The sequence below is a fragment of the Homo sapiens genome, chromosome 9 (assembly GCF_000001405.40).
Source record: "Homo sapiens chromosome 9, GRCh38.p14 Primary Assembly".
Taxonomy (NCBI): domain Eukaryota; kingdom Metazoa; phylum Chordata; class Mammalia; order Primates; family Hominidae; genus Homo; species Homo sapiens.
Genome location: NC_000009.12, coordinates 40,354,125 through 40,370,574, shown reverse-complemented (window position 1 = coordinate 40,370,574; position 16,450 = coordinate 40,354,125). Strand labels below are relative to the sequence as shown.

Sequence of the window (16,450 nt, the reverse complement as noted above, 5' to 3'; positions counted from 1 at the left end):
TAGGATACCATACATACTGTAGGGTTTGGCTCTGTGTCCCCACCCAAATATCACCTTGAATTGTAATCTCCATAATCCTCATGTGTCAAGAGCAGGACCAGATGGAAGTAAGTAGATCATGAAGGTGGTTTCCCCCATGCTGTTCTCATTATAGTGAGCGAGTTATCTTGAGATTTGATGGTTTTATAAGCATCTGACATTTCCCCTGGTTGCACTCATTGAGTCTTGCCACCCTGTGAAGAAGGTACCTGCTTCTCTTGCATTCTGCCATGATTGTAAGTTTTCTGAGGCCTCCCCAGAACTGTGAGTCAATTAAACCTATTTTCTTTATAGATTACTCAGTCTCCAGTCTTGCGTATGTCTTCATGGCAGTGTGAGAATGAACTAATACTCATATAATGGATACTAACAAGTAAATCTTTATTTACCACTTATTAGAAGCTTGACTTAACCAATTATCAAATTTTATATAAGCTTTAATGTTATTGGGAAATATCCTTTTCCTGTAAAAATAAATGAGATTACCTACCTGAAGTACCTTAGGCCTTTCTAATATTTTCAATTTTCATTAAATGTTTATTTTTATGTATCTATAGATATCTTGAATATGTATTGTAAATATTATATGTATGTAGAATATATGTATTCTAGTATTTCTTCCAGATAGCACTTAAAAACCAGTGTTTGCATTTTTGCATGTGAGTAAGCAATTCCTACTTACAATGATGGAAGAAATAGATACCCTGGAAGAAGGAAAATTAAATTCATGCTTTCAAAGCATCCTTCCCAACAAATCCAATTCATCTTTTGCACAGAAGGAATAATTAGATGAAGATATATTTTAAGTCAGATTGTTAGTATTTTGGCCACATGGCTACATCATAAGTGTAGTTTAAAATTCTGTTCATTTTTATTTTTTTAAATCAAAACACTCATTGAACTGTACTTAATTTTTAAATGCAAAATACATAAAACTCTTGCATTTCTTGGAAATAAATTCTCTTTATTCTACTAATAAATAAACATTGTTACCACCATTGAGGCAAATGACAGAAATTCTTACAATTGATTATCCTATATGGGTATGAAAACTTTAACATGCTCCTCTAAGTAACTGAATACTACAGAGTGATTTTGGATCAATGTGGCCTTATTTTGAATATAACATACAAAATCATTGAGTGTTTTATGATTTATCTTCATTTTAAATCAAGCTTTGGGATATATGAAGACAGAAGATAAATCAAAATGTGTCACGTATTATATTTTCTGAAGTTATTAACATATATCTAGCAAAAGGTAAAATAGCACAGATATACCAACCAAATTTTCATGTGAAGAAAATATTTTATATAAATAATGTTTCTTCTTTTATATGAAATCACTGCAAAAATGAGAAAGCTACTTTTTATATTCCCCAATGAATATTCCCCAGTCCTGTGATTCCAAGTTCAGTAAAATTTAGAAAATCATGGCCAAGAAATTTAGTAGACCGAATGTACCTTCACTTTCTGGAATGTACTTGTAACCCTACATTCACAGTTAGAAATTTGCTTGAATGAAAAAGTGTTCAAAGTAATTATTATCTTGTATTTGGCTTCTCTGGGTACCTGTTTGGCTTTTATTTCTAAATAAAAAAACAAAACATGCACAATGTAAATATTTTTAGTTTGTAAAATTTTCTTTCCAATTACATATTTTGAGATGTTGTATATACTGTAAACATTTTGAAGTAATTTTGCCCAAATTAAGAAAAAAAATTCATTCATCTTTTTATCTTATTTTTATTTTGGTTCACTTTTCATCTGGGTATTAATATGGATGTTGCAGAAAGAATAGCTCCTATAAATGATAGGTTGCTGTATGGATATGCAACAAAACCATCTTTATTTTACAGAAAGGTCTCATTACTCTAAAAGAAGGCCAGTGAAGAAATTTATATTGACCTTTTGGCATGACCTTTCTAAACCAACTGTTCCCTAGTACCTAAACTAGTGAGTTTACTGCATAGAGACACCCAAAGGAGTAAAACATGAAGTGGGAGACTTTGGCCCTATTAGAAACCTTAGGGCCAGGTTCTGTTCCTTATCACCTATGAGATTTCCCTTGTTAATGATGCTGAGTTGGGCATATTTATTTTTTAGCCATTTCATCAACAAGTTTTGCTTATGACTAAGGATGTCATTTCTTGTTCCCATCACATGGTGTTTTAGGACATTCCTGCTGCTTTAACAAAATATCTTACTTAGAGTAATTCATAATTTATAAAAATTCCTTATACATTCTTTATAGATTCTGACAATTCCATAAGTGTCATGAATTTCAGTAGGGAAGTGACTTTTCAAAGTGAGCTCTGGACAGGTAGCCATAAGTAAGACTACGGTGGCACGGATATGCTGTGCTTTGATCAGTTGTGTGGTATGCAATTTTTATTATAAATATCACTGAACTCCATATGACAAAAATTACTCATCAACTTTTCTTTTTTTTTTTTGAGACGGAGTCTCGCTCTGTTGCCCAGGCTGGAGTGCAGTGGCGCGATCTCGGCTCACTGAAACCTCCGTCTCCCGGGTTCACGCCATTCTCCTGTCTCAGCCTCTCCGAGTAGCTGGGACTACAGGTGCCCGCCACCACGCCCGGCTAATTTTTTTGTATTTTTAGTAGAGACGGGGTTTCACCGTGTTAGCCAGGATGGTCTCGATCTCCTGACCTCGTGATCTGCCCGCCTCCGCCTCCCAAAGTGCTGGGATTAAATTAGATGTAAAATGTTGTTCAGGTTTATTAAATAAAGAAAGAAAAAGATTGTTAACTAGATGTCTTATTTTGTTTTTCTCTGACAATGGCTGTCTTGTAAATTGGTATATTTAGATCATGCACATTTAAAGTAATTATTGGGTGGTAAAAAAGTTGGGCTGGTATTTATTATGTTTATAACTATTTTCTATTCATATCATTTATTCTTTGCCTCCCAACAATCACTCTTTTTCTTATTTCTATTGTTTTAATTGACACTTAAAATAATCCCATTACATTTCCTCTCCTAGCATGTCAGTTATACTTTAGAACAGTTTTAGTGATTTATGTGAGTTTGCAATACACATTTTTAACTAATCTCAATCTACCTTTAAATAAGACTTTGAATAACTCAACACAAATATCACTTTACAAGAGTGTTACAGACTCAATATTTGTATTCCCCTATTCCCCCAAAATGTGTATGTTGAAACCTAATCCCTATGGTAAGAGTATTTGGAGATGGGTCTGTGGGAAGTGATTAGGTCATGAGGGCAAACTGTTATGGATAGAATTAGTGCCTTTACAAAAGAAACCCTAGAGAGCTAATTTGCTCTTCTGCCGTGTGAAATCCCAGTGACCCATCCTCTATGAACAAGCCCTTGCCAGACACTTAATATGCACATGGCTTGACCTTGGACTTCCCAGTCTCAGAACTGAAAACTGCATTTTTGTTGATTATAAGCCACCTAGTGTATGGTATCCTGTTATAAAAGCCTGAGCAAACTAAGATACAAGTAATCCCAATTCCTACCATTATTTATGACACTACTGCCATTTAATGTATTCATTTATATACTATATTCATTCAATACATTGTTACAGTTATTCCTTTTAAACAAAATATTATCTTTTAGGTCAATTAAGAATAAGAAAATAAAACATTTTATTTTAGTTTCATTCATTCCTTCTATGATATTCTTCCTTTCTTTATATAGACCAATTTCTGACCTATACCCTTTTTCTTCTCCCTAGGAACTTCTTTGAACATTCCTTGCAAGGCATGTCTACTGACCATAAACTTTCTCAGTTTTTGTTTGTCTGAGAAGGTCTTTATTTCTTCTACACTATTGCAGGATAATTCTATTAGATATAGAAATGTAGGCCAGATGCGATGGCTCACACCTGTAATCCCAGCACTTTGGGAGGCCGAGGCGAGCAGATCACGAGGTCAGGAGATTGAGACCATCCTGGCTAATACAGTGAAATCCCGTCTCTACTAAAAATGCAAAACTAATTAGCCAGGTGTGATGGCATGCACCTGTAGTCCTAGCTACTCGGGAGGCTGAGGCAGGAGAAATTGCTTGCCCAGGAGGTGGGGGTTGCAGTGAGCCAAGATTACACCACTGCACTCCAGTCTCCAAAAAAAAAAAAAAAGAAAAGAAATGTAGATGGTGTGTGTGTCTCTGTGTGTTTCACTTTCAACACTTTAAGTATTTCCCCCCACTCTCTTCTTGCTTTCATCTAATGAAAAACCAACTGTAATTCTTAGCCTTATTTATTTACAGGTAAGTTTTCTTGTTTACCCTTGGCTCCTTTCAGTATGTCTCTCTGTCTTTGATTTTCTTTGGTTTAAAAAATATATACCTAAGTATAGATTTTTGACATTTATTCTGCTTGGTATTCTCTGCACTTCTTGAATCTGTATTCAGTATCTGCTGTTAATTTTGGAAAATTCTTAGCCATTATTACTTTAAATATTTATTTGGATCTGTTCTTCCTTTCTTTACATTCTGGTATTCAGATGTACCTGCTAATATTCTACTAGAAAGAAAATAAAATATAAAATTGAGTAAAATAAAACAAAATAAAATAAGGAGTAGCAACACAATGCATTAAATTCAATGCAACGGATTAAATATGTTTTGATCTGTTAAAAAAATCAATCTGAACAATGATGTGGTTTACAGTTAGTATGCAATATAGAACTCTGAATTTAATTGTTTTTATTTTTCTACAGTGGTTTTACAGTAAAAATAATTTGAGTTTAAGTTTGGATTGTTACTTTTAAAAACAGAGCTAATTAGCATTGTTTATTACTTTCTCACCTTAATTTTCTTATATATATGTGTGTGTGTGTGTGTGTGTGTGTGTGTGTGTGTGTGTATATATATATATATATATATATATATATATATATAAAAAGAGATTATAGATCTGTAATGCTTAGCATAAGTCCTGGTAAATTGCATCTATTCAATGAACATTTGTTCTCCCTTTAATTCCTGCAATCTAGATGGTGGTTCATGGATATAGTTGCTCTCTAATTTTTTGAGCATATTAAGGACTTAAAAGCTAATGATGGTGTATTGTTATGTCAAGGCCAGCAGAGCATATCACTTTAAAAAACTGGCAATAGAAACTTCTCTTTAAAAATTGTAAAAGTAAGTAAAGTTTAGAAACCAACCAAGTACGAGCAATGCAATGTTAGCATCTCATTGGTTCACACCAGTGAAAAGTATTTAAGAACAAAGAAATGGTATACTGTACCACACAGAAACTTGCATGCAAATGTTTATTGCATGTGCAGCTATATTCTTACTTACTAAAACTTAGAAGCACCCAGCTTATCCTTTAATAGGTAATCATTCCTTAATTAGATAAACAAACTCTGCTATATCCATACAATGACATAATTATCAGGGGTAAAAAAATAAGCCATCCAGTCATGATTAGACATGGAGGAAATTTGAATGCATATTTCTATGTGAAAGAAGCCAGTCTGAAAAGTCTACATATTGTATGAGTCCAAGTATATAATCTTCTAGAAAAGGCGAAACTATAGAGCTAGTGCAAAGTTTAGTCATTACCAGGAGTTGGGCATGTGGGGGATAAGTAGGTGGAGCACAGGGAATTTTTAGGGCAGTGAAATTATTATCTATGATTCTGTAATGGTGGATACATGACATCATGCATTTAGCAAAACCCATGGAACTGTATAATACAAAGAGTGAACCCTAATGTAAACTCTGGTCTTTAGTCAATAAATGCATCAATGTTGGCTTCTTAATGCAATTTCATTTTAAAATATAAATTTTCTTATTTTTTCCACATATTTCTTAGGGGAAAATTTTAAATAATTTCTAGCTTCACTGTTTTCTAATGGATAAAAGCATAAATTAAATATGCTTTTATTACTGAGAGGATATGACATTGTAGTAACAGATTTATTAATAATCAAGAATGTATTAACATATTTATATAAGGTAACATTCTGTGGATTTTTGTTTCCAAATAACTCAGAATTGACAAAATAAAAATATAATTATTCAATGATGAATATCACAATGAGCAATATTGATCTATTTCATAAACATTTCATCCTGTCAATCACAGGGATACTCAGTTCAAATACATCAAAAGAAAACATTCTTCAGGTAAATTGAAATTACAATAGTTTCAATTTTTACAAAAGTTTAGATGTTGATAACAGTTTCAGAGCCACTTCTCTGTATAGAAAAGCTTTCTGGGGATGTCATGGTTGTAACTAAAAACAAAAATACAGATTTATAGATAACAAAATGAAGAGAAATCTGTTATAAATATTGATTGTATGATTATGAGGTCTTTAGAAATTACAAATTATTTTATCAGTATATTTTAAGTGTAGGATATACTTAATTTGAATACTAATATTTATTACATATGAGCTTAATTGTGTCTGTTCAAAAGATACAATGAAGTGCTAAACTCCAGTACCTTAAAATGTGAACTTATTTGATAATAGAGCTATTGCAGATGTCACTAGTTAAGATGAGGTCAGGTGAGTGCTGTCCTTATAAGAATTGGGCACAGAGATACATACATATAGGGAGAATGTCCTGTGATGACAGAGTCACAAACTGATGCAGTTGCCTGCCAAAAAATGTGCCAAGAATTGATAACTGGCACCTGAAGACAAGAGGTAAAGAAGGATTCTCTCCTTCAGGTTTCAGAGGGAGCATGGTATTGCTAACATCTTGATTTTGAATTTCTGACCTCCAAAACTGAGAGAATAAGCTTTTGATGTTTTAAGCTACCCAGTTTGTGGTATTTTGTATGACAGTCCTAAAAAATGAATACAAATAGTAAACCATAAGCAAAACTACAAGCATGGAAATTTACCCTAATTCACTTTCTGCGTAACACTTATGATTCAAAAATTGATATTATATTTTGTATTTTTAATTATCTTTCTCACGTAGGAGAACATAAACATCCTGAGGGCAAAATCTTTATTCAGTTTTTATTTTACTCATAACACTTAGAACATCGAGTGGCAATTGATGTGTTTGCTAGTCAGGATGTTATTCTGGTGAATACTGTTCATTCTATGTAACAAGAAACCACTGATGTATCAGTAGTTTATGAAAGGTTTAGTTTAACTGATGCTACCTATCCAAAACAGGCAAAGCAGTGGGACTTCCCCTTCCTGCGAGTCAGGTAAAATATTTGATACATGTTTTCATAGCCACAGAGATGGGGGGAAACAGAACATGGCAAAGAATGACTGGACTCTAAAAAGTTTTATATTCTGGATTAGTCAGAATTTCAACAGAAAACAGTTGGTAAATACAACTAAGAATAATTTGAGGAATGCTTCCATACAAAGGAAGGAGCATGAAAGAATTGTAAGCAATAAATCTGGAACTGGCGCTCAGTGAGGATAAAAACAAAACATGGAAAAAGAAGGAGTAGAAGATCAGACCACCTGGAGAACAAAAGTGACCTTCTGTAAAGAGACACATGTAGGGAAGACAGCCTCATGGGGAAGAGACCAACAGAATAAACACCATGACCCTTTTCTCCTCTTCCTTTCTGCCTTCTTACAGGGTTCTCCACAGGCTGAACCTAACCTGAAGCCAGAGGATGAGGGAGCCTCCTAATGTATTCCTGAGAAGTCAAAAAAAAAAAAAAGGCCAATGAGTCAGGAAGAGTGGAAAGGGTTGCATTAGAAGATATTTTACACATTACTTTCCTTTTTTTATGTTACCATTATAAAGTGATATATCTAGAAGCAATCTTGCACATCAATCTTTATCTACATCTCAGATTGTGTAAACTTTATAGCTTACTGTTTCCCTCATGAAAAGTAAAGTATCCCATTGTAAGAGTAAGACAATATACAACTATGTTATATAGTGTTAACTTCTGTTAATTGTTTGTAAGACAAATTATTGGGGTGATTACATGAAATAAGGAGGTCTAAATTAAACTTTCAATGACAGAAAACCAGCAATATATAAGAAACAGAACAAACATTCTTAATGTATTTAATGTATTTCAATCTGTGTATTTAGCATCTACTTATAATTTTTTAAACAATTTAACTCTAGTTTTTAATATAGAGACCATTACACCATTTCTTCTTATATTTTTAAATTACATTTTATATCATCTTTATCATTAGGATAAGCAGGGGAGAAATGTTGAATATATTGATTGATGTATCTGATATATACACTCATGTGCCACATAATTATGTTTTGGTCAATGACAGACCATATATGTATGATGTTGACCTCATAAGAGTCTAATGGCCCTGAAAAATTTCTATCATCCAGTGATATTGTAAGCCACCTAACATTGTAGCAAAATGTATTGCTACTGTTTGTGGTGATGATGGTGTAAACAAATTTGCTCTTCTTTCAGTGATACTAAAGTACACATACAATTGTGTGCAGTACATAGTATTAGATAATGATAAACTCTGTTACTGGTTTATTTGTTTTATATACTACAATTTTTATCATTAGAATTACCCCTTCTACTTATGGAAAAACAGTTAAATCTGTACAATAGCCTCAAGCAAATCTTTCAGGAAGTATTACAGAAAGAAGCATCATTACCATAGGAAATAACAACTCCATGAGTGTAATTATCTCTGAAGCCTTTTCAGTGGGACAAGATGTGGAGGTTCAGACAGTAATATTGATTATCCTGACCTCATGTTGACATAGTCTAATGTGTTTGTTTGTCTTTTTTTTGTTTTTTGTTTATTTTTACAAGAAAGGTTTACAACATAAAAGAAAAAAAAAAGAAATACCGAAGTGGTTCCCCAAGGCACCAATTTAAAGTGTATATGTGCAGTGCAGGGTTACTGGACCAAGGCACAGTGTAAACAGCGAAATTTTATTTTTTGTTTTCTTTTTCCTAAGATGTTCCTTACTCCCAGTTACATAAAAATGTGTATTACAAGCAAACAAAAATTAACAGGAATAGAAATAACTATAAAGTATATTCACATTAAAATCAGCTTTGCTTTATCTATTAAAGGATGTAACACAGTTGTGGTTTTCAGGACCTTGTAACTCCTGGTGAATTGGAAAGCACAGAAATTCTTCAGAGCCTCAAGAGTTGTGTTTAATGCATTATTTAAATAGTGTCCAACCACTAGTTAGATAGCTTAACACTCAAATAGCTTTTGAAATCTCTGTAGACTCACCTCAATTGAAGAGTCCTGATAATTTACAGAAGTGTGTAGTGCACTAAGAGATCCCTGCTGTACGATGCCTGCCTGTGGAGTGTTTTATGTGTTGATCCACTGGAGTGTGTGTGTGTGTCTGTGTGTACGTGGGTGAGTATGGGTGGGCACGGATTGTGTGTGTGTGTATGTGTTTACATTGTGGTATGTGTCTGTTGGGGTGCCGCCATTAGGGATTTGGAAGAGTGAGGACCATAAACTTGTCAACATTCCTACATGCCTGCTTCATAACAAGTGTACTGAACATGGCCAAAATAACTAAACCAAGTAAACAAATTAGACATTAATTAAATTTAATGCTGGGCAGGAAAGAAGTAGTCAAGGCCAGGTAAAATGAAGAAATATAACCAAGTGAATGAAATTTTTACATTGATTCGTAGAATGAGACATGAATATTTTTTAAAATTTGTAATTTCTAATGACTATCAGTATATAAAACTAAGAATTATATGGCTGTCAACTGACTAAAAACTGTACATAAGATTAGAGATAGTGAAACAACCATATATGAACTTCTATTTCCACTTTTCTGTCTCAAGAATGACTTGTGAAAATGATGTTTTTTTTGAAATTTTACATTCTCATTTTGAAAGAGCTTCACAAAACTTACGTGAGAATCTGGATGCTCATAAGAGGTCTGATTTTTTAATGGCATGTTTGTATTTCTGTTATGTACATCAATGTCAAGCATTCGTTTCCTGAGCTGTTCTCTACAACACAATTTAACTTGTAATAGACACTCAATAAAAGGTCGGTTGGATATTCAAATCAACACCTTAGTTCCATCAATTTTCATTTCATATAAAAATGCCTGATCTTCTATACTCACCAATGAAACAGAGAGAGATGAAGGAGGGAGAGCAGTTGAGACTGAGAGGATGACGAGCAGACCTCATTCTGCAGTGGATTTCCTACACTCTCCACTTCTGAATGCTTGGAAACACTTGCCATGCTTAGAAAATATTGGTATTTCCTAGGCAGCAAATGGGAGTTAAAGAAAGTCCATATTTCTATATTACAATAACTTACACTATAATACACAGACAACATACATTTCTAAGCTATTTCAATTCATAGAAAATGTAGATAAATTTAGGTGAGCAAGGTGTAGGAGAAGGGTTAGTAATCAAGCTGAGTGTGATTGTGAGATTAAATCTGATATTATGCAATTATTGTATAATTGTATCAGTTGACATATCTGTTGAAACAGAAGGTGGGAGAGTTTTGCATGCGCTTCCGAAATGTACTGGATGATGTTAGGAGAGAGGCGGGTCAACGTGGCTAGGCCATAAGTGTTTACTAATTGAGGCTTAGGAAAGTTAAGTTCCTAACCAGAGACTGGGAGATAGAGGCGCTAAATTGTATAACATTTATATTTAATATATATTTAATAATATATAGTAAAGTCTTAAAATGCCAATTTTAAGTCTTTTCATTTTCTTCTTAAAAACAGAGGTTTTATTGCGTTTGGTCCACAGTCGGTATTTCACATTATCTCATAGCGCAGGGCCCCTGGGTGGAGGGCTCTGTGCAGTACTTGGCGTGGCCTGGGGCCGGGAGAGATAGAGCAGTAGACCTGGTCAGGCCCGGAAGGGGAGAAGGAGGGCCGGGGCTCCTTAAGACCTACTGAGGGCCTGGGCGCGGTGGCTCTCGCCTGTCATCCCAACACTTTGGGAGGACGAAACAGGCGGATCACATGAGGGAAAGAGTTCCAAACCAGCCTGGCCAACATGGTGAAATCCCGTCTCTACTAAAAATACAAAAAATTTAGGCAGGCGTGGTGGTGGGCGCCTGTAGTCCCAGCTACTCTGGAGGCTGAGGCAGGAGAATCGCTTGAGCCCGGTAGGCCGAGGTGCAGTGAGGCGAGATTACTCCAGTGCGCTTCAGCCTGGGCGACAGAGTGAGACTACATCTCAAAAAAACAAAAACAAACAAAAAGCCCTACTGAGGGCCACGGAGGTGGGGGAGCAGGATGGAGATGGGTCAGGCTTAACCCTGACAACTCAAAATTCCACTACCTTGTACGGGCCTCAGTTTCCTCAAGGAGCCCCAGCGTAGGTCTGAGGTCTGTTGGTCTGAGGGTCCTAGGGAAATCCAGCTGCTCAGGAGCCTGAGATATTTTAGCATCGTGGCTGAGCCCCCTCTCCCAGGGGACACACTTCCTAGCACCCTCTCCACTGTCCCCGCCCCATTCCTCGGGGAAAAAAAATTTTTTTTATTTTGTTAATACTTCCTGAAACTTTTGCGGGTACAGAAACCACTTACTGATAGGCTGAGAAAAGGGGAAGAGGAGAGGCAACCAGAAACCTTCAGGGACCGGTTCCCTCCATGTCCAGGTCTCTTCTCTCCAGCACAGCTCAGCCTACAGCCTGGAAGTGCCAGCGGGCACCTTCACCCTACACGCATCAGGATATGGCCTTGATCCCTTCCCCCACAGCCCGGTGGCTCAGTCCTGAGAAGGAACCAAAGCAGGGGGAGGTGGGGGAAAAATCCCTGCTGCCTGATCCCACGCTGCCACTCACAGACCCTCGGTTGACTGGCAGCACTGAACAGGTTTAAAAAAAAAAAGATGAAAACACAGAAAAACCCAAACACCCAGAGGGGAGATCATGTGTGGAGAGAGCGTGCTGGGAGCCTCAGTAGCCGGTCTCCTCCTGGTAGTAAGGGAGATATTCAGGGGCCGGAGCCCGAGGGAGCGCCGTGGGCCACTGGGCCTCCCCAGTAGTACCTGGGGTCGTATATCTGTAGGCCCATGCCGAAGGCCTGGCCGCTCTGATGAGCGCCCTGCGTGTATCCCATCTTCAGGGACGTGGAGGAGTTGTCACACTTGTCGATTCCCAGCTTGGTGTCATAGGTGTGCTCATTACTCCTATCTAGCTGTAAGTTTGTATTTGTTAACCAACCTCTCCCTGTCCTCTTCTCCCTGTTGCTCTCCCCAGCCTGTAATAACCAGAATTCTACTCTCCACTTCCATGAGCTCAGTTCGTTTTTTTTTAGCTCCCACATATGAGTGAGAACATGCAAGATTTATAATTCTGTGCCTAGGTTATTTCACTTAATGTAGTGTTCCAGGCTGATCCATGTTGCAGCCAAGGACAGGATTTCATTATTTTTACGGCTAAATAGTACTCCACTGTGAATAGATACTACATTTTTAATCTATTATGTTTTTGGACATTTAGGTTGATTCTAATCTTGGCTACTGTGAATAGTGGCTGCTATAAACATGAGGGTGCAGGTATCTCCTAAATATGCTGATTTCCTTTCCTGTAGATAAATGCCCCATAGTGGGACTGCTGGAAAAAGAAAAAATTCTTTTTCTTTAAACCTGATCATGTCTGTCCTCATAAATGCATGTTACACCCATCTCTCGCCATCAATGCAACCCGACCCCGAGCAGTTGTTCACTCTTCTCTTCCCTCGTTCTCGGCACACCGTGTGCCTCCATACCCCAGCCTCAGGCCTTTCTATACCACTTCCCATTTGAGGCACTGTGTTTTTATTCAACTTTGGTACTGTCCTTTGAGAATCTTCAACGTGATTTGGATATGGCACTTTTTATCAGGATGTTACGTCAGAGTTGATAAATTCAAAGTAATATCGTTCTTTTTCCTGCCAAAGTCAGCTCCTCCTTTCCACTGCACTTTCCTGCCGATGCCACCACTCTTTCTCCTGAATGTTCTCAGAGGACACCCTTGTACCTGGACTGGTCATTACATAGGTGTAAGTTTTATTCTCTAAAAGGGGTGAGTGAGAGTTTATACTAAGGTTGTAAGCATCCCTCAGGGCAGACTCTGGATGTATATTACAGAACTGCTGAACTTGTGGAATGTGCATGTTTAATACTGAAAATATTTAATGCCACATGTGTAAGACTTTTGCCAACTGGAATCTGAACATCAACAACTTTGAAGGGCTTATTCTACCTTCTCGGCACAAAAATACTTTCTATGAATGCACATATTTATGTGCAAACGTATAGAAAATTGACTTTAAAGTGTACAACAAATTTATTTTAGCAATTGGGCCTGGGGGACCTAGAAGGAGAATGAGATTGGAGTGGTAGGGGTGGAACATTAGCTAATAATGATTTATTTTATTAAAAGTAATTACTGAAAACCAATGCAATAAAATATTAACATGTTACTTGAAGGGGTTGGGAGTATAGTGCTTATATTCTTCTTTACATGTTTTAATATCTTTAAAATTCCTTGTTTTGCTTTTGCTAAGGAAGTCACAGTTTAATTGGCAGTATATCTCTAATGGTACATGAAATAATGTCTGATTTCTAAACATTGACATTCTACATTAGATGAAATATATTAACTATTAAGCTTTGATATTACACTATAAAATTAATTGAAGAAAGCCACCCCTCTTTGTTTCTTTCTTTTTTAGTTATTATGTGCCCCATGTGATCTGCAGGAGTTTTTTTTCTAGGCTTTGAACATTTTAAATAAAATCAGAATTTGTTCAAGTTCAGTTAACACTCAGCTGTGAACCCTATGGTACTGGGGTCTTTTTCAATGGGAGATCTCTAAGCATTATTCCAAACTATTCTATGCTAATTGATCTATTGATAATTTATAATTTATTATGAAATACATTAAATTTCTTAAAAAGAAAAAGGAAAGAAGTAAAGGGAAACATTTATTACAATTTAAATAAAGGAATTAGCAGTTGAAAACAAGAAAACCTATTCTGAGCATCCATACTTCTCGGCAACCAAAACAATCAATGAAATCAATGCATTGGGTTAAACAGTTCCCAATTGCCCACTATGTTACCAGGAGAAAAAAACCCTTTATCATAGGGTTAAACTTTGGGAAGGATTTTCCATAAGGATCTTAATATAAAGGTTCTTGAATGGCATAATGTATAAGGTCTTTGATAGCAACGCTACCCACAGTGCAAAGATGTTTTACTAGTCCTGTTGGTGTCTCAAATTGGCTCTTGGTAAGTAATCTGGACATATCGTGAAATTATAATTCTGTGTAGACAATTCGACTTACCAGGTTAGAGTGATGCAATCCAAATAGATGGCTTTCTTCTGATCTGGCTTAACAGAAATCTTGAAAAATCTGGAGGAGTAAATGTTTAATATACCCTCAGTTCTCAACCATTCTTCTTCCCCTGAAAGACAACATCACAGGCAGGACATCCTCCCAAGTGTACACGCAATATTATGTACAGTTCCCACGTGAGAAAGCACATCATAATCTTAGTGAGAATGATGTTCTCATAAGGTCAGTTATACTCAGTGTGCATAGTTGTCCAAGTGTGAGTATGAAACCAAGTCATTCGCAAGTACCACTAGTCTGATTATTAGTAATAATAATCCACTTGTGACATAGTTTTTCTTTGCTGAAATAAAATATTGTTTTGACACCATGGTTGAAATGTTGGTCTTAGGTCAATGCTCTCTATTATCTGTTGTTGTTGCCAAGCCTCTGAGAGGTGTTTTATGTGGGGCAAAAGGTCCCTTCCTGTGTCTTTGGTCAAAGCAAAGGAGGAGTACAGACGACTGAGAGAGTGATCACGCTGCTGTGCCCACCTATGCGGTAGACCTTGTTCCTGGGTTGGGAGATGTTTTATGATCAGGGTGCAGTAGAAGGAGCACACTAGTAGCAGTAAAGAGAGGTGACCCTGGCTGCAGTTCTGCCTCTAACTTCCTGAGTGACCTCAGGCTAGTCACACAGTGACTGCTCCCCACATTTCTTTTTGTAAGCTGCAAGGATTGAATCAGACAATAGCCTCTAAGTTTCTTCTGAACTCTCATACTCAGGGATGCCAACGATGTTGGTAATAAAATAGTATGAACATGCCAAAAAAATAAAAATAAGGAAGAGAAATAGGTATGTAACTTTACTCTGGGACTCCTGTGGTATCTCACAACACCATGCTTCATGAACCCCAAAGAAAGCAAAAAATCCAGCTAGTGTTATAAATCCTGACCAGCTGAATTCTTTCACATGTTGCAGCCTGACTCAAGTTATTCATCGCAGAGGCTAGCAGCTCCCTGATGCATCCTTCCTTGTCTCTGGACAGGATAAAAATAAGAAATTGGCCATTGTGAGACACTCTGAGTTTCGTGGGATTGAGCAGAGCATATTTTATATTCTTCTCTTGGAACTGCCTCTTGTTGGTAGTAAATGGTTGCCAGCACTGTTGTTTCTCAATAGACAAGTCCTAGAAATAAAGATAATTCAATTTTCATTCACTCTTAGCTCTTCTGCTACCAGTGTTCTTCTTTGACACTGACAGGGCTGCACCTGTCTCCCTGGCCTGACATAGCACTTGTATGGTTTGCCACTTGCCAGAAAATCCACGAGTCATTCTAAAGACCTTTTGCCCAGCAGAGACCACTCCAGTGAGCACAAATTGTCTAGTGGTTTTTTTTAGATGGTCTTCCTCCTTGGCTCATTTCTCTCCAAGAACGAAAGTATCAAGGTGTTCATTTAACAGCAGCTCCTGAAAGACAATCCAGCTTGATTTAAATCTTTAACGGTTTTCATTATAATAGAAAATATAATAGCAACAGTAGCATCCTCTTTTACATTGAAATTAAATTGCAATTCTTTCACTGTTGGGGTGGCAAGTATAATTCCTATCACTTCTTTGGAAAGCAATACAACTTACTAAAGATCACCAAAATGTTTATACTTTTTGGAACCAAAAACCTCACTGAAAAAAATTTATTCCAAGAGTATGATTCAACAGAAAAAAAAAAGTAATATACATGTGCATGTTTCTCCCTGTGAAAACAACAGCACAGAATTTACTAGACAAGTTTTGAAACAGTTGGCTATGTGGTAACATGGAACAACATTCTCCTATAATGTTGAAGGATAAAAGCTTAGAGAATAGAATATATTCTATGACTGCAACTGTGAAAGAAAACATAGATCTACATAGGGACAAAGATGATAAACATGCGAAAACAGGTGTTAGATTCATGGATTATGTGTATTTTTCCTGCATTCAAATTTATCTTTATTATTGCTTTTTTATGTTCCCCTCTCCTCCCCCCAAAAAATCCTAAAGATCTTGAATATGCCCCTGTCAATATTTAACATTTCTTCTGAAACTGAGTCTAGATACTCAATCTGCTCCAGTTTTTTGAACAAGATGAGTAGCAAGGTTATTCTTTCCATTTTTTTGTTTGTTTGTGTTTTTTGTTTGTTTGTTTTTTGT

The 16,450-nt window shown here is 36.3% G+C and overlaps 1 long non-coding RNA gene across 1 annotated transcript in view; it reads left to right on the top strand.

The window, feature by feature from the left end:
- Nucleotides 1-16,450, top strand: part of LOC124902159 (uncharacterized) — a 68,637-nt gene that overhangs the window by 46,816 nt on the left and 5,371 nt on the right. The window lies entirely within an intron of this gene.